Here is a 19732-nt window from a genome sequence, read left to right as displayed (position 1 = left end):
CAAGCATACTGTGGAAAAACAATCAACAAACCTAAGAGCGATTTAAGATTAATAAAACTGACTAAACCTCGGAAAACTGATAAAGATAAAAAGAGAGGGAAACACAAGTTGCAGAATAAAAAGGATCATCCTTATACATATTATAGATATCTGTAAATTATGACATACATAAGTTCTGAATATGCTGATATATGAATATTCTGATATACATAAAATTGAATCTTTCTTTCCGGAAAGAAATCCCTGGCAACAGATGGCTTCACCTGTGAATACTTACATACATTGAAGGTAGAAATATAACAGTTTTGCAACAAACTCTTCCATAGAAGTGCGGTAACAGATGGGAACATGTCCTAATGCTTTTTATGAAGTCAGCATACTATTGATTCTGAAGTCTGACAAGGATATTAGGAAACAGGGAAACTACAGGCCAATCACTCTTACGAATATAGATTCAAATATTCTGAACTAAATATTAGCAAGTACAGTCCAACAACATAAACAAGATAATACTTTATGACTAGATGAACAATTCTGGGTATGCATGCATGCTTTGCCAACACAAAATCAAAAAATGCAACCAATTGCTTTAATAGAAAAAGGAGAAAAATTATATGATCACCTTGATAGTTGCAGAAAAAGTATGTATTAAATTCAATGTCCACTAATGAGTTAAAAAATTCCTAGCAAATTAGAAATAGATGGGAATTTGCTTAATCAGATAAAGAATCTACAAAATCTCTGGTTAAAATTATACTCCATTGCAAAATAATGGAAAATTTATTCTTGCAATTAGAAACAAGCGGTGCTGCTACATCACTTTTATTCAACATTGTACTGGAGGCAGTGCAATAAAGCAAGAAAAATAAATAAAGAGTTTAAGAATTGAAAAGGAATAAATCAAATTATTATTTGCAGATAATATGATCTTGTTTACCTAGAAAATTCAAGAGATTGTAGAGAAAATCTGTTAGAATTATTTGATTAATTATATTAGCATTAGTAAGTGACTTTAGTAAGATCTTTGGAGATAAAGTTAATCTATGGAAGTCAATTGTCTGTCTATACCAACAACAACAAAAATCCAAAATTAAATTTTAGATGTAATTTATAATAACATCAAAAATATGAAATACTTACAAAGATGCAAAGGATTTCTATACCAAAAGTAAGAACTTTACTGAAGAATTAAATTAGACCTAAATTAATGAAAGAATATATCACACTTATTGTCAAGAGTCAGGTTTCATAAAAAAAATTATTATTACCAAGTGGGGAGAGTAAATTGACAAACCAATTCTAAAAATCATCCAGAAATGCAAAAAGTCTAGAATAATTACAACAATCTTGAAGAAGAAAAATAAAATTGGAAAACATTCTACTGCCGAATGTAGTATACTACCAGATATCAGGAAGTACAGTAGAGCAGATCTGAGTGAAACAGTAGAATGCATAAGAGTCCAGAATCAAACTCACATATATTTATGGCAAAGGTGACACTGAAGTTCCTTGGAGGAAACAATGGTCTTTTCAAAAAATGTCCTGGGCATAGAATAACTATTGGTATTGGCAAAAATAATGGAACTAGACCATGCTCTTTCACTAAACACAAATATCAATTCCAGATGGACTTCAGATCTAAATGCGACATGTAAAAAGTAAAACTATTTGGAGGAGAACATAATAATATGTACTTGAGATCTTGGGATAGGGAGAAAAAATTTCCCCCTAAAAATAGACACAAATACCACTGTCCATAAAAGGACAAAAATGTGATAAATCAATCTTTACTAAAATTTAAGAATTTTGTTCATCCAAGGCAACCTTCAGAGTAGGATGAGATACTTACAACCCATATAGTCAACAGAGGACTTGTACCCAAAATATATTTTTAAAACTCTATAAATTAATAACAAAGACATTTTAAATTCAATTTCCAAATGAGGGCACTTAAAAGTCCACTTGACCTATATGCTGATTCTTTTCACTGAACCTCAGTTGTGCAGAATTACATCTCTCATAGTCTCTGCTCCAAAACACACTGTCATCATTGATCAATGCATGACTTTCCTTTATTCAGTTAATTTTTCATGTATTTCATAATGTAATACATCATTACACCAGATAATGTAATACATTCATACAACTACTCATTTATAACTTTGACTTTAACCTACCTATGCATAACCATAGTTTCTTCCCCCTTCCCGTCTCCCTGCTTCCTCCAACTGGTTAGCCATCATCCCAAATACCATGTTCTTTTTTTCTTAGTTTTCTTTTTCTTTGGTTTGATAGCATCAATACATATTCCAAAAGTGTGTGTTTATTTTTGATTTAATTATTTTTAATTTCATGAGAAGATTATCATGTTGTAAATAATTTTGGAGGTAACTTTTATCATTTAATATTTTGTATATATATATATATATATATATATATTTTTTTTTTTTTTTTTTTTTTTTTTTTGAGACAGAGTCTCACTCTGTCGCCCAGGCTGGAGTGCAGTGGCATGATCTTGGCTCACTGCAACCCCCACCTCTCTGGTTCAAGCAATTCCCCTGCCTCAGCCTCCCACGTAGCTGGGATTACAGGCGCATGCCACCATGACCAGCTAATTTTTTTGTATTTCTAGTAGAGACAGGGTTTCACCATGTTGGCCAGACTAGTCTCGAACTCCTGACCCCAGGCAATCCTCCTGCCTCGGCCTCCCAAAGTGCTAGGATTACAGGCGTGAGCCACCATACCCGGCCTAATATTATATTCTTAAGATTCACTCACACTGTTGTCATTGTTTATTAATTTTGACTGCTACATAATATTCTACTTTGTGAATGTGCCACATTTTGTTCATCTTGTTTCCTCTTATGGATGCTGGATTGCTTCCAGGTTTTTGCTATTATAAACAGTGTTGTTACGAACATTCTTGTATGTGTCTCCTCTGGTGTATATATAAGTATTCCTCTGGGGATGTGTCCTGTGGTTTAATTGGTGGTCACAGTGTATGTGAATAGTCAACTGTATGTTTGTTTTACATTTAACAGTTTTCTGTTTTTTGCAGTTTTTCCAAAGTATTCGACATACCATATTTCATTAATTCTTTTTTTTTTTTTTTTTTGAGACAGAGTCTCACACTGTTGCCTGGGCTGTATGATCATGGCTCACTGCAACCTCTGCTTGCCGGGTTCAAGTGATTCTCCTGCCTCAGCCTCCTGAGTAGCTGGGATTACAGGCACCCGCCAACACGCCCAGCTAATTTTTTGTATTTTTAGTATAGATGGGTTTTCACCATGTTGGCCAGGCTGGTCTCGAACTCCTGACCTCATGATTCACCCGCCTCGGCCTCTCAAAGTGCTGGGATTACAGGTGTGAACCACCGTGCCTGGCCTCATATTTCATTAATTCTAACATGCACTTTTTACCCACATTTTAAGTTCTCTGTAATAGGAATATTCTTGAAATCAATGACATCTCATGGTTTAATTGTTGGTAATTTTTCTGAGTGATACATAAAATCGTTGGTTGCCTCAAAACTGACAATGTCTTAGATTTGATAAATATCTCTTTCCACACATGCATTTCATTTACCCCCTACTTCATCAGTTTACAAAGTATTACATTCTATAATTAATGTAAGTACAACTGGCATAATCAAGTGTGGGGAAGAAGACAGCTGGCCCTTGGAAAGACATACAGAATTGGCGAGGAAGGGAGACAGTCATGAGAGGAGTCATGCTGGCAGCGCTCCCCTGCCCTGGGCGGCAGCCAGGATGCGCTGTGGAGAAGGGAGAGTGTGTCCATCTGGAAGGGGCCTAATGGACATGGTGGAGAGTTTCCATGATATCCACAATCATTATAAACTGTGAAGTGCAGCACACATTCTTATTATAATACTTAATCATGGCTTTCCTCCATGTGGAGCCATGTAAGCCATCTCTTTTACAGGCTGCACTAGGAAATCCTCAGGCAGGCAGGGTGGCCGAAGGGTCAGTATCAGGTAGCTGCCCTTGGGCAGAGAATTCTAGTTTTCCTTGGCCTGTTTCAATGAGTTTGGACCATTAACAAATCCTATCCCCAAATCACTTCTTATTCCATTCCTTCAAAAACCAGAAAGAGTAGGAAGACTGTTTAAGTATGCAAGGTATTACTGAAGTAGTCCGGAGGAGTGCTACTGGATCTTCAGCATAAGCTATTTTTATTCATTAGAAACCAGATCTTCAGAGGGGTTTTCGTGATTTGGATTAGCTTCCTGTGCTCAAATATGACTAGCTTCACAGTGCTGGGTGATTGCAGTAAAGTAAGAAGGTGAACTGAAGGGCTTTTGTTGTGGCTTCCAGTTCTTTTGTATCTATGGTTTGGGGTTGCGCATTTTGAAATTCTGAATCTGAAGATTTAAAATTGTTTGTAGTTTCCAAATCAGGAAGGCAGCATCATGCTTCAGAATGACTCAGTGTGGCCAGGCATGAGTCCGCATCCTAGCTGTATCACTTCCATGCTGAGCCTGGGGTCTTCACTTTAGGCCAGCCCCATGGTACTGTTGCAAGGACAAATCACCATCACTATGGCAAGGTATTCTGCATGCTGCCTGCACGTAGCAAGCAACTAATAAATGTCACCATCATCATATTTCCTTATTGTCTAAAGACAACAGCAGGGTGGAGGCATTGGCCTTTCATCCTCTGAAAAAGAAATCCGCTGTCAGAGTGATTAGCAGCAAAACAAGAAAGTCTGGGATGCTGCCAACACTTTCCCTGCAGTTTTCAATTTCTTTTTTTCTAGGAATAGAAGCAGAAAGAATAGGGGAAAATGTCATTTGGCAGATAATCTGCCCTCCTCCAGTTTTGTTTTATTATTATTTTCCTTCAGGCATCACATCAAAAAAATGGGGAAATTATTTTCTAAAACTTCTTAGCTCAAAAAAGTAAAACCACATTTCTCTGTTGCCTCTGGCTTCCCTGAGCATATTGCTTTGGCAATGCTCCCTGCCTCCACACCAGGCTCCAGAGCTCTCCTCCTTCCCCTGGTCCTCCCGATGTGCCAGAGACACAGCAGCAGCACCAAGGGCCAAGACAAGGAAGGCAGGCTGGGCTGATGCCTTGACACAGATTCACTGAGGCTAGAATAAAACATTGGAGTAATGGTGGCTCTTTTAAAAAACGTGTTCTGCAAATTACATCAGTGGATTTCAGAAAAGGCGTTCTGACGAATTATAAGAATCGGTTAAAATATAATCACTTTGTAATTTAAATAAACAAACTCATTATTGTATTATTTAACCCTCACAGTGACAATATAAAGAGACATTTATTATCCTCACTTAAATTGAAGACACTGAGGCTTAGAGAAGTTGAGTGATTTGTTAAAAAAAAACAAAAACAGAGCAAGCAAGGTGCAGGGCTAGAACTGAAAACAGTTGTTTTACAGTCTCTGGTTTGCCAAGATCTCAGGATTTATGTTACGAAAGGTCTCAGCTATATCACCCCAACCCCAACTCTCCACTGCTGCTTTCTTAAGATTGCAAGAAAATGCAGTAATCCTACAAGAAAGAGTGGAAGAAGGAATAATAAGGAATAAGGAAGGAAGAAGGAAGGAAGGAAGGAAGGAAGGAAGGAAGGAAGGAAGGAAGGATGGAAGGAAGGGAGGGAGGGAGGAAGGGAGGGAGGGGAGAGAATGGGAGAGGAAAGGAAGACTATATAGTCTGCTGTGTCTACCAAAGAGGTATCTGATTTCCTCCAAACCATGAGAACGATCAAGCTTTTTATCATAAGTTATCTAGAACGGACAGCGTAGATTTTACATAGCACAATGCACAGAAAACCTTTACCAAAATTCTCTTGAGAAAACTCTTTTTCTCCCTAAAGTTTTACATCCAAACACCTGCTGAGTAGCTCTCCCCCATCTTCTTGTAGAGTCCTGTCTCCACTGTGCCATTTCCTTGCTGACACACACTGGGCTCCCCAGAAGTCTGTGCTCCCCACCTGTGATCCTCCTGCCAGGCACAGCCATCTCCAGCCCCATCCACAGCTTTGGAATTGGAGTGAACAAATCCTTCAGGATCCTACCTGTAAGGCTCACCACTCCTTTTAAAAAGCAGGGAGAGACAAGAGGAGCTCCCTGAAAAAGGGAGTATAGTTGGTTTTAGACAAAAATAATAGAAGTGCAAGAAGAAACTAGAAAGGGGGGTAAGGCACCAGAAAAGACTTGGGATCAGTGGGCCAAGGCCTGGGCAAGTCGAGGCTGAAATGAGAAAAAGAGAGCTGATCATGGCCTTGGCCAGGATGAGACACAAGCACCAGGAACCAGGAGTGATGTGTGGGAGGGGGCGGGAGAAGGAGCTGCCCCAACCACCCGCGTCTGAGTCTCGTGTTGACTCTAATTAGTGGGTAGAGGTGGATCCTACTTAGTAAATAAATGCACTTGAACCTCGAAGGACATGTCCTGGGTGTGGGGCCCTGCTCAGGACCTGGAAGAGCCCTTTTCTGTGGGGAGTGTAGGAGAACCAGGGGAGTTGGGGAGCGGGAGTGGCTATACCATGGCTGTCTCTCACATTTAACTTGGCGATTCTAACATCTCAATTGTCAGTGACATGAAAAACAGAAGAAAGACTCTAGGAGGTAAGCCACTTATTTGTGGGTTCCTAACATTTTGGAAATTTGGCTGTTGTACAGACTTTTATTAAACCCTGACCTACACACACACACACACACACACACACACACACACACACACGTGTGAATAGCTTTATAAGGAATTTTTCTAAGCATCAAAAGGCATTTAGGCCTGGCACCTCCCGCCCCTGGGTATCCTGGCTGTGAGAGGAGGAGAAGGGGAGGTGATTGGAGTTTCTCTAGTTCACTGAAGGTAACCACTCAATGCTGTGGGCTTCCTGTGCTGAGCAGTGAGCTCTCTGTCCCCTGAGTCACTTTGATCACAGGCTCTTGGAGAGTTTAATACAAGGAGAATCCTGGTGGCTGCTCTGCTCTCCGTGGCTTCTTGGGAATTCAATAGATTTACTGCTTCTTGGTTTGATGAATTAAGCATGGTGAAGTTTGGTATTATGGCATATCCACTCCATTTGCCACATTTGACAACAGCACACTGTAAAACTCACTACAGGCTTGTTGAGTGATGGTCAGAATGCATCACACAGGAGTGAATGAATGAATGCATGAATGGAAGGGTTCCAGTATGGTTTTTGCACTGAGATTGGTTTTGGCCGCAGGCTTCACAGATCCTCAAGAGTAGCACAATCACTCAGAGCCCTTGCAAGTTGAGGCTGGCCCACGGGCCTCTGATAGAGGCGCCAGGGAGCCTCCTGTCTCCTTCTGTTTGAGGCTGGCAGCAGGGCTTCCTAGGGGAGGAGACTAAGCCACACCAGACAGATGCACCCTGACTGCAGCTTACTGGGCATGGCTACGGAAGGAGCACGTTTTCATGCAAAGGGAAGTATGTAGGCCACACTGGGACCCTGCCAAGCATTCAAGGGTTTAGCAACAAGGACTCTCAGAACATCTGCAGCTTCTCTGCCTTTGTGATCTCTTACTGAGCCTTTCTGTGTCTGTCTACGGCAGAATTGCTCAGTCTGACACTTGGGTTTGTTAAGAAGTAACATAAACTAAGTTAATTTTTAAGTAATTAATAATGAATACTGTTAGAAAAATCCACCCCCGTTAAGTAAAAGCCCCAGCTGCTAATAGGTATAATATGTTACTAATTGAAACATGGTATAATATGTTACCACCCGTGGCGTAATATGTTACTAATTAAAAAGTGATAGAAAAATAAAATCTTTTGACAAAAATGTAAATCTGCCAAGTTTGACCCAGGAAACGCTGACTTTGTTGAAATAGACACAAGCTGAAAATCGAAAGCACAATGGCCCTGATAGGAGCACCCATGAGCAGGAGAGTGGTCAAGCCCCAGATTCTCCTTGCTCCCTCTGCTAAGTCCAAATTTATTAGTCTTGGTTCCCCAAAGATATATGTCCTTGTGGAAAGTGAGGCAGGAATAACAGCCTAAGAGAGGCATTGGCAGGGGCTTTGAGGCCTGGGCATGGGAGATGGGCAAGTGGAATGGGCAACACAGTGCAGGGGCGAGAGCCTGGGCAAGGCAGGGATGGGCAGGGAGGTCTGTGGGTGGGGGCATGGGCAGGTTGGGACAAGGGCAAGAGCCTGGGTGAGGGGGATGGGTGGGGGATGGGCAGGGTAGGGCAGGGGAGAGAACTGGGTGTGGAGGGGCACTGGGGAAGAGGGGAGGCAGTGGAACGGGTGGGGAGGTAGGGGAAAGAGCCTGGGTGCTGGGAGTATGGGGAGATGGGGTGGGGATGGGGAGGGTGGGACGGGCGAGAGCCTGGGCGAAGAGGGTGGGTGGAGAATGGACAAGGTGAGGCAGGGACGAGAGCCTGGGGGCAAGGAGAGGAGAGGTGGGGGTGGGCAGGATGGGGTGGGAGGCCGGTGGGCGTGGTTTGCTGGGAGCCTGGTGGGAGCCAGAGGTGCTAGTGGAGGGAGGGAGTGGTGGCCTAGAACGGATCCAGGGAACTGTACATGGCAGAGCAGGGTGCCTTGAGAAAGGACCTTCCCGTCAGGGGACACACAGGCAGTTGGACACAGGATGATTTTAACGTTAACCACCATTAAACAAACAAGGTAACTTTTTAGGAAAATATGATTCTTCCGTCAAGTTTTATCCCTAAAGAGGCTTTTGGCTTCGAACCCCTGCACTTGGGAGTTTGTGAATTTGTGCGGTGTAACAGGGTATTTTACTTCATCTTCCTTTATGTATTCCTGGTCATTAATGAATGTAAATATCTGTTCATATGAGCTTTTTACCAGAAGAGCCTTCTGCTCTGTGAAGAGCATATTCATGATTTTTTTTCTCCTTTAAGAAAAATACGGTGATACGGACTTTTCTTATAGATTTAAAGGCGTTCCTACACATTACGTATCTATGTTGATACTGTCGGTTGTGCATATGACAAATATTGTTTCCCTGTTTAAAACTACCTCACAAGGTGTCCTTTGATGATCAAAAACTTCTAATTTTAAAATTTAGTCAAATTTCAGTCATTTTTTGTATAATAGTATGTTTTGGTTCTTGTTTAAACTTTGATGTCCACAAATTTCTCAACTATATTTTCTACTAAAATTTTGTTTCCTTTTTAGACATTTAAAGTATTAATCTGAAATATATTTTTATGTACAGAAGTGACGTGAGATCAGGATGCAATTTTACTTTCGTTTATTTGGATAACTATTTTTCAGCCCCCTTTCTCTCCTTCGTTGGCCTGGTTTGCTCACTACGTGTCTCCCATACCAAAGTTCCAATATGCACAGATCTCCTTGTGAGTTTTTAATTTTTTTCTTCTTGATAATATATTTTGGGGCCAATTCCACACTGCCTCAGTTATTATGGGATTGATACTGATGAGGACAGGATTCCTTTCACTATTTTTTGAAATACGCTGGTTATTCTTGGAACTTTATTTTTTCACCTAAATTTCAGGATCAGTTTGTCAAGTTTAAAAAAAAAAAATCCTGTTGGGACTTGGATTGGAGTCATAGTGAATCTATAGATTAACTTTTAAACAGGTGATAGTCAAGGAGTTGTTTCATTGTTATGATCACCATGTGTATCTCTAGTTACTTAGGCCATCTCTAATGTCTCTGCCATCTAGAATCTTCTTGTGGAAGATTACACTTCTTGTTAGAATTATTATTAGGTCCTGCTACTCTTATTTCTACCACTTTAAATGGCATTTAAATTTTTTTTATTGACGTGGATTTATTATTTGATTTGGTGAGTATCCCAATTTGAAATTATATTAACTTAGTTGATAAAGCAAGGAATTTCTTACAAATAAGACAAGGATTCACAACTTTCTATTCATGTTGAATTTCCATTGATACACATATTTGCCTTTACTTCAAATTCCAACATTTACAGGCAATGATAAACATGAAGGTTTTTTGTTTGTTTGTTTTTTATTACTTTTTAAATTTTACTTTAAGTTCCAGGATACATGTGCAGAATGTGCAGGTTTGTTACATAGGTATACATGTGCCATGGTGGTTTGCTGTACCTATCAACCCATCGTCTAGGTTTTAAGCCCCGCATGCATTAGGTATTTGTCCTAATACTCTCCCTCCCCTTTCCCCCACCCCACGACAGGCCCTGGGTGTGTGATATTCTCCTCCCTTTGTCCATGTGTTCTCATTGTTCAACTCCCACTTATGAGACAGAACATGTGGTGTTTGGTTTTCTGTTCCTGTGTTAGTTTGCTGAAGATGATTGCTTCCAGCTTCATCCAGGTCCCTGCAAAGGACATGATCTCATTCTTTTTTATGGCTGCATAGTAGTCCATGGTGTATATATACCACATTTTCTTTATCCAGTCTATCATTGGTGGGCATTTGGGTTGGTTCCATGTCTTTGCTATTGTAAATAGTGGTGCAATAAACAAATGTGTGCATGTGTCTGTATAGTAAAATGATTTATATTCCTTTGGGTATATACCCAGTAATGGGATTGCTGTGTCAAATGGTATTTCTGTTTCTAGATCCTTGAGGAATCACCACACTGTCTTCCACAATGGTTGAATTAATTTACATTCCCGCCAATAGTGTAAAAGGGCTCCTGTTTCTCCACAGCTCACCAGCATCTATTGTTTCTTGACTTCTTAATTATCACCATTCTGACTGGCATGAGATGGTGTCTCATTGTGGTTTTGATTTGCATTTCTCTAATGATTAGTAATGATGAGCTTTTTTTCATATGTTTGTTGACCACATAAATGTCTTCTTTTGAGAAATTTCTGTTCATATCCTTTACCCACTTTATGCTGGGGTTGTTTGTTTTTTTCTTGTAAATTTGCTTAAGTTCCTTGTACATTCTGGATATTAGACCTTTGTCAGATGGGTAGATTGCAAAAATTTTCTCCCATTCTGTAGGTTGCCTGTTCACTCTGATGCTAATTTATTTTGCTGTGCAGAAGCTCTTTAGTTTAATTAGATCCCATTTGTCAATTTTGGCTTTTGTTGCAATTGCTTTTCACGTTTTATTCATGAAGTCTTTGCCCATGCCTATGTCCTGAATGGCATGGCCTAGGTTTTCTTCTAGGATTTTTATCGTTTTGGGTTTTACATTTAAGTCTTTAATCCATCTTGAGTTAATTTTTGTATAAGGTGCAAGGAAGGGGTCCAGTTTCAGTTTTCTGCATATGGCTAGGCAGTTTTCCCAGCACCATTTATTAAATAGGGAGTCCTTTTCCCATTGCTTGATTTTGACAGGTTTGTCAAAGATCAGATGATTGTAGAGGTGTGGTGTTACTTCTGAGGTCTCTGTTCTGTTCCATTGGTCTATATATCTGTTTTGATAACAGTACCATGCTGTTTTGGTTACTGTAGCCTTGTAGTATAGTTTGAAGTCAGGTAGTGTGAGGCCTCCAGCTTTGTTCTTTTTGCTTAGGATTGTCTTGGCTATACAGGCTCTTTTTTGGTTCCATATGAAATTTAAAGTAGTTTTTTCTAATTCTATGAAAAATGTCAATGGTAGTTTGATGGGAATAGCATTGAATCTATAAATTACTTTGGGCAGTATGGCCATTTTCATGATATTGACTCTTCCTATCCATAAGCATGAAGTATTTTCCCATTTGTTTGTGTCTTCTCTTATTTCCTAGAGCAGTGGTTTGCAGTTCTCTTTGAAGAGGTCCTTCACATCCCTTGTAAGCTGTATTCCTAGGCATTTTATTCTGTTTGTAGCAATTGTGAATGGGAGTTCATTCATGATTTGGCTCTCTGCTTGTCTATTGTTGGAGTATAGGAATGCTTGTGCTTTTTGTACATTGATTTTGTATCCTGAGACTTTGCTGAAGTTGCTTATCAGCTTAAGGAGGTTTTGGGCTGAGACGGTGGTGTTTTCTAAATGTAGAATCATGTCGTCTGCAAACAGACACAATTTGATTTCCTCTCTGCCTATCTGAATGCCCTTTATTTCTTTCTCTTGCCTGATTGCCTTGGCCAAAACTTCCAATATTATGTTGAATAGGAGTGGTGAGAGAGGGCATCCTTGTCTTGTGCTGGTTTTCAAAGGGAATGCTTCCAGCTTTTGCCCATTCAGTATGATATTGGCTATGGGTTTGTCATAAATAGCTCTTATTATTTTGATATATGTTCCATCAATACCTAGTTTATTGAGAGTTTTTAACATGAAGGGATGTTGAATTTTATCAAAGGCCTTTTCTGCATCTATTGGGATAATCATGTGGTTTTTGTCATCGGTTCTGTTTATGAGATGGATTATGTTTATTGATTTGCATACACTGAACCAGCCTTCCATCCCAGGGATAAAGTTGACTTGATCATGGTGGATAAGCTTTTTGATGTGCTGCTGGATTCGGTTTGCCAGTATTTTATTGAGGATTTTCGCATTGATGTTCATTATGGATATTGGCCTGAAGTTTTCTTTTCACTGTGTCTCTGCCAGGTTTTGGTATCAGGATGAAGCTGGCCTCATAAAATGAGTTAGGAAGGAGTCCCTCCTTTTCAATTGTTTGGAATAGTTTCAGAACGAATGGTACCAGCTCCTTTTTGAAACTCCGGTAGAATTCGGCTGTGAATCTGTCTGGTCCTGGGCTTTTCTTGGTTGGTAGGCTATTAATTACTGCCTCAATTTTAGAACTTCTTATTGGTCTATTCAGGGATTTGACTTCTGCCTGGTTTAGTCTTGGGAGGGTGTATGTGTCCAGGAATTTATCCATTTCTTCTAGATTTTCTAGTTTATTTGCATAGGGGTGTTTATAGTATTCTCTGATGATAGTTTGTATTTCTGTGGGGTCAGTGATGATATCCCCTTTTTCATTTATTATTGTGTCTATTAAATGGCATTTAAATTTTTTTTTATTATTTTTTGGTAGTTGATAGACATTTGCAATTTAAACACAAATAATAAAATAAATGGATAAATGAATTTTGTCCATCATTTCTAATTCATTTATATGATCTTTTGATTTGTCTATGTAAAAGATTTCATCATTTGGAAATAAGGGCTGGTTAATTTCCTCTTTCCTAATATTTTTCACTTAATTATTATTAATTATAATATTACTAAAAACAATTAATATATTGATTAATTATTGTGCTATTGAGAAAATCCATGCCAAGTGGAAGTAAGAATAATGAGAAGACTAATAATTTTCCCTCATTTGATATGATAAAAATATATTAGAGTATTTTTATAGGTACCTTTTATCAGATTTAAAAAATTTCCTTCTACTCCTAGTTTACTAAAGTTTATAATCATGAAAGTATGTCGGATAGTATTTTAGGGTTTCCTCAATCTATTGAGATGGTTTTATGATTTTTAATGTATTAATATGGTGAAATATGTGCTTTACACACAAGTGGTGTGTCATTTGGTTATCTCATTTGGTTGTCTTTTTATAAGGTGTGATTCATTTTGCTAATATTTTATTTAATGTTCTTGAATCTGTATTAATGAGCAAGCAGTATGTTAACTGTCCTCTTTCCAACTGCCAGTGTTTGGATTTGGTATAAAGGTCATGCTAACCTTAAAAAGTGAGCTGACAAAGACTCCTCCCATCCATGTCTTGGATCATTGGTAAAAGATTGAGACAATTTGTACCTGAAAAGCTTGGTAGGACTTATGGCCAAAATTATCTCAGTATATATTTTTTTCTTCAGAAGATTTATAACTTGCTTCAATTTTGCTATGCTTTATTTCTTCTAGTGGCAGTTTTAATGTTATATTTTTATGACTTTTGAAATGTTTTTTAAATTTTTGCTATCTGCTTGTTGATAGCTCTGTCATATTATTCAATTCAGATTATTTATGTTCTCTTTATATTTAAAATATTATTTGTTTTATTTTTATTTTTCTTGATAAATCTTGCTGACTGTTAAATAAAACCTAAACCAGGCTCTGTGGCTTATGCCTATAATCCCAACATTTTGAGAAGTCAAGGCAGGAGGATTGCTTGAGGCCATGAGTTTGAGACCAGCCTGGGCAACATAATGAGACCCCCATGTCTACAAAAAGTGAAAAAAATAAAACTAACTGGGCATGATGGCGTGGGCCTGTTGTCCTAGCTACTTGAGAAGCTGAGGTGGGAGGATCCCTTGAGCCCAAGAGTTCAAGGTTGCAAAAAGTTATGATTGTGCCACTGCACTCCAGCCTTGGCAACATCATGAGACCCTGTCTCAAAAAAATGAAAATAAAACAGATTTTTCCATCTTTTGCTTCTTTAATGGTCTGGCACATCTCTAAATGTTGATATGTAGTGTACTTATTATATAATTCTAGGAATTTTGTTTCTATTATAGTTTATTATTTAAACCATAAGTTTTTAGTTTTTTAAAATTTCAAAATATGCAGGGTTTCTAAGTTTAGATATTTTATTTTAGCTTCAATTTAGTTATGTCGAACAAACATGAAGTCTGTAATGCATATGCTGTGGATTTTATTGCTGTTTGCTTTATCAGATAGTGCCTGATCAAATTTCTAATATTCCTTGTGTGCTTGAAAATAATGTACATTCTCTAAATATTGAATGTAAGCTCAATTAAGTTGTTTTTATTTTCAATATTCTTGCTTATTTTTTGTCTGCTTTACATATTTATAATTAAGAGAAGCATTTTGAAGTTAATAATATATGGATGATTTTTCAAATCTCCCTAGAATTCTATCAATATTTGCCTTCCACGTTTCGAGACCATTACACTAGGTGTAGACATATTTAAAATTCTTATGTCATCTTGACACGAACACTTCATCACTGCATAGTGACTCTCTTGATGCCTAATAATTTTTATTACTTTAAGTCCATTTTTCAGCATAAGCTTTCTTTCAGTTAGAATTTTCCTGAAATATCTTTTTACATTCTTTGTGTAGAAAATGTCTAATCCAGAAAGCAAAAACTTTCCTAGGCACTTCTGAGGAAGGAATTTTAATACAGAGAACTGGCTACAAATATGATAGAGGACATAGAGTAGCAAAAGGAGAAAAGCACGTTAATCCCGATGTTAAAACTGCATGAGATTATTTCAGTCATGAAGCTGGAGAAGCAAATGCACATGGAGCTTCCCGAGCCCACAGTGGCTGTGCACTGGTACCACTGCTGTGGGAACCACGTGAGCAGGAAGCAGGTGCCTGAACTCCCTGGCTGCCCCCTGCACCCACTGCCGAGGGACGTTGCTTGTGTGATTTCCTTTTTGTATGGTTTTATTGCATCCCTATGTGTGCCATGAAGTTATATTTTGTATTTACATTTTTTAAACGTTATAAAAGTTGTATGATGCTATATATAATCTCCTGGGCTTATTTTTACATTTAACTGGATATAGCTGAGCTTTATTCATATTGTATGTAGCATGGCTGTCTAGTTTGTTTACATTTTTTATGTAAACATACCAGAGTTGATTCCTGCACTCTCCTGTTGATAAGCATTTGTGTTGTTTTTATAATTTCTGTAAATAGTACTGCTATGAATTTTCTTGTGTGAAAGTTTTGCTTAAAGATAAACAAAGAGTGAAATTGTGTGTAAGAAGTTATATGAATATTTAACTCTGTAAGTTAATGAGGGACTGTTTTTCAAAGTGGGTTCATGCACTTACATGGCCATCAATGCAGAAGAGATTCTGGAGAACAATACCCTATCCAGACTTTCTAATAATTTAGCATGGAATAAAGTTAAAATAATACTTCATTGTATGCATGATTTTTTGTCTTGATCATTAATAATGTTGAACATCTACTGGTATATATTGAACATATAGAAGATTTCAAAAACACAGATAATTGACCTAAAAGACTTATTACACCCCCAAATTGGAGAATTTATATTCCTTTCAATAATGTAAGAATAACTTTAAAAAATGACAATGTGCCAGACCACTAAATTGATTCCTGGCCAGGCATGGTGGCTCATGTCTGTAATCTTAGCACTTTGGGAGGCCAAGGCAGGAGGATCCTGTGAAGCCAGAAGTACTCAAGGGGCTAAGATAGGAGGATCACTTGAGCCCAGGGGTTCAACTCTGCAGTGAGCTATAGTCATGCCACAGCACCACTTCAGGATAGATGACAGAGTGAGACTCTTTATCTAAAATAAAATTTAAAAACAAGAAAGAAATTCTCAATACATTTTTAAAGGATTGTTACCACTTAGAGTACATGTTCTAATTACAATAAAATGAGTTTAGATGTCAATGACAGAAAGATAACCAAAAACTTCATGTATTTGTAAAACATAAACATATCTTTAAAAATGGGAGTAAAAGAAGAACTCATATAGGATATCAGAAAATATTAGTGCACAGAAAGCATAATAGAGAGGAAATTTTTATCTTTAAATATTATATTAGGAAAAAGCCTGAAAAATAAGTGAGCTAAGAATTGAGCACAAAAAAAGACACTGAAGAGGGGAATAACATTTCCAGTGACAGCCAGATAGCTCATGGATGAACTACACTGAGGTTAACTTAAAAAGATGAAAACATGCATTTGCAATCATCATTAAGATAATCAAACCTTTACCTAGCTGTCCAAAGAAGCAAAAGCAATCCTCTCTAGATGATGGTAGTAATCTCTAGAGCTTTGAATTGTCTCTAGAATATTCAAAGACAAATATTAAGTCTAAAATGCTGATGCTTACAAACAGACAAGAGCAGATAAAAAAGAAAATAAATTAGAAAATAGAAAGCCAGAGGAGATGGAAATTTCATGGTTATTATATACAAAACTTAAGATAAATGTGACTACTATGATCAAGGAATTAAGTAACAACCTGGAGAATTGAAAACTACAAATAGTTACTTTTGATATTCTAGAATGAAAAATAAAATATCAGAAATTAAAACTCAAGGAATGGATTTAACAGTATTTTAGAAATAGCTAAGCAGACAATTAGTTAAATGGAAGATAAGTCAGAGGGAAATATACACATTAAAGCCTGGTAGATCTCGAAAGGTGTAATCCAAAGAAAAGCGCAAATGAAATATAGGATTAAGGTATGAATTACCACACAGCAATTGAGGACCAGAAAGAAGAAAGAACATGGTATAATAACCCTATTTGAAAAATACTGACCAAGAATATTCTAAAACAATTAAAGGCATTAAGTTACAGATTTGAGAATGACAAAGGGCACAAATAAGGATTAAACATAAACAGAACAATCACTAGGCACATCATAGTAACACTACTGAAACATTATAATTAACTGAAAATTTTAAAATAAGCCAGAAGTGGGAAAACATTTTACCTACAGAGCAGCAACAGTAAGCCTGACAAAGATTTCTCAACAAAGACTAAAGAAGCCAGAAGACAATGAAATGATATATTTGAGGATAAAGAAAATAACTGTCTGCCTAGAATTTTTAAATCATCAGCCATAACCTTTAAAAATGAAGATAAAATTAAGACATTTTCAGAAAACAAAACTAAAGAGAAGTAGTCACCAGCAGATTTGCACTTAAAAATATGGACTAAAGGGAGTTACTCAGAAAGAAGTGAAATGATCCTAGATAAGGATATAGCAATGCAGGAGAAAAAGAAGAATAAAGGAATTATAATATTTATAAATTAATGTTGAATATATAAATTCATGTCATATAGAAATTAAACTATATTTAAAGAATACAATACACAACAGTAATACTGGAGACCAGGAAAGTAAACGCAGTTAAAGGGGTTAAAGGGCTTTAAGATTCCTCCTCTGCAATTTTCTGGTAAATAGTATAAAAGTACTAAGTTATTTTAGACTCTAGAAATTTATATTTTAATCTCTAGAAAAAATACATTAAAGCCATTAGAAAAATACAGAACTGACAAGCTAATGTAGGGGGAAAATGAAATAATAAAAGAATGCTTGCTTAATCTATAAGAAGAGAGAAGGAGAGAGGGAAATAGAATAAAGGGAGTAGACAGGTAACAGAACAGAGGGAGTAGAAAACAAGTATTAAAACAATAGGCTTTACTACACATATTTCAGGAATTAAGTGTAAATTGACTGAAAACTACAATTTAAGTCCAAGATTGTCAGGCTAGGAAAAAATAATATCCAATGGCACAGTGCTCAAAAACAGTTTAAATATAATGAAACAAAAAATTGGAAAATAAAGAATAGACATATAAAAACACTAACCAAAAGAGAGCCAGTGTATCAGATAATGTAGACTTTAAGGCAAGAAGCACTACTGCAGATAATATACTTAAAGGTGATTTTAAAACATTTAAAAAAGTAAAAAAATATAAAAATTCAAGACATTTATGGATCTAATAGCATAGCCTCAAAATATATAAACCAAAAGTTAACTGGACTAAAAGAAGCAATAGACCAATCAAGCAATATAGTGGGAGGTTTTAAAATACACTTGACTTAAACAACATGGGTTTGAACTGCACAGATCTGCTTACATGCAAATTTTTTTCAGTAAATATATTGGAACATTTTTTGGAGATTTGTGACTATTCGAAAAAATTCACAGATGAACTACATAGCCTAAAACTATAAAAATATTAAGAAGAAGTTAAGTATGTCATAATAAAATATATGTATATATATGTAGATATCAGTTTACCATTTATTATTATAAAATATACACAAATCTAGTATAAAAGTTAAAATTTATCAAAACATACACACACACAAACACAGATTATACACAAAACTGTTTGCAGTCAAGGGAATATAAACAAGTGTAAAGAGGCAGTCAGTATTAAATAATAACTGCAGAAATTAATTGTAGTACATATTGCACTACTATAATAATTTTGTACACATCTTCTGTTGCTATTGCACTGAGCAGTGTTGCAAGTACCTGCTTAAATGCCCAGTGACATTAAATCACTTCCATATGAGCAGTTTGTCTTTCCAGTAAATCAGGTATCACAGTAAATAGTGATTTATTGCAGTTCTTGTGTACTTTTCATCGTGTTTAGTGCAACGTCATAAACCTTGAATAATACCATGAGACCTATGCAAAGTGCCACTGGTGATACTGGAAGTGCTCCCAGAAAGCAGGGAAAAGTCATGACATCACAAGAAAAGGTTGAATTGCTTGTTATGTACCATAGGTTGAAGTCTGCGGCTGTGGTTGCCCACCATTTCAAGATAAATGAATTGAGCATAAGGATCACTGTAAAAAAAAGAAAAGGAGGTTTGTGAAGCCATCACTGCAGCTACACCAGCACATGCAAAAATGTTGCACTTTTTTGTGTAATAACTTTTTATCTAGTATTGAAAATCAGCTTTAATGTGAGTGCAGGATTGCTATAAGAAAGCCATACCTGTAGACTCTCATATGATTTAAGAAAAAGTGAAGAGATCATATGACAACTTAAAGCAAAAGGCAGGTGAACAATCTAATTCTGGAGAATTTAATGCCAGAAAAAGGAGGGTTAAATAATTATGGAAAAAAAAGTTTGGCTTAAAAAATGTCAAGATAGCAAAAGAAGTAGCTTTTGCTAAGAGGAAACAGACAAGTTCCTAGACATTATTAAGAAAATCATTGAGGAGAAAGGATATCTGCCTAAACAGAATTTGAATACCAGTGAAAGTGCTCCATTCTTGGGAAAAAAATGCCACAAAAAAAACCCATTTATTGGTGAGGATGAGAAGCGAGCACCAGGATTTGAGGCAGGAAGGGATGGGCTAACTCTACTGTTTTGTTCAAATGCAATCAGGCCTATGGTTAGGACTGCCCTTATCCATAAAGTTGCT

Source organism: Homo sapiens, chromosome 10 (genome assembly GCF_000001405.40).
Source record: "Homo sapiens chromosome 10, GRCh38.p14 Primary Assembly".
Classification (NCBI taxonomy): Eukaryota; Metazoa; Chordata; class Mammalia; order Primates; family Hominidae; genus Homo; species Homo sapiens.
Note: the sequence above shows the minus strand (reverse complement) of the source record.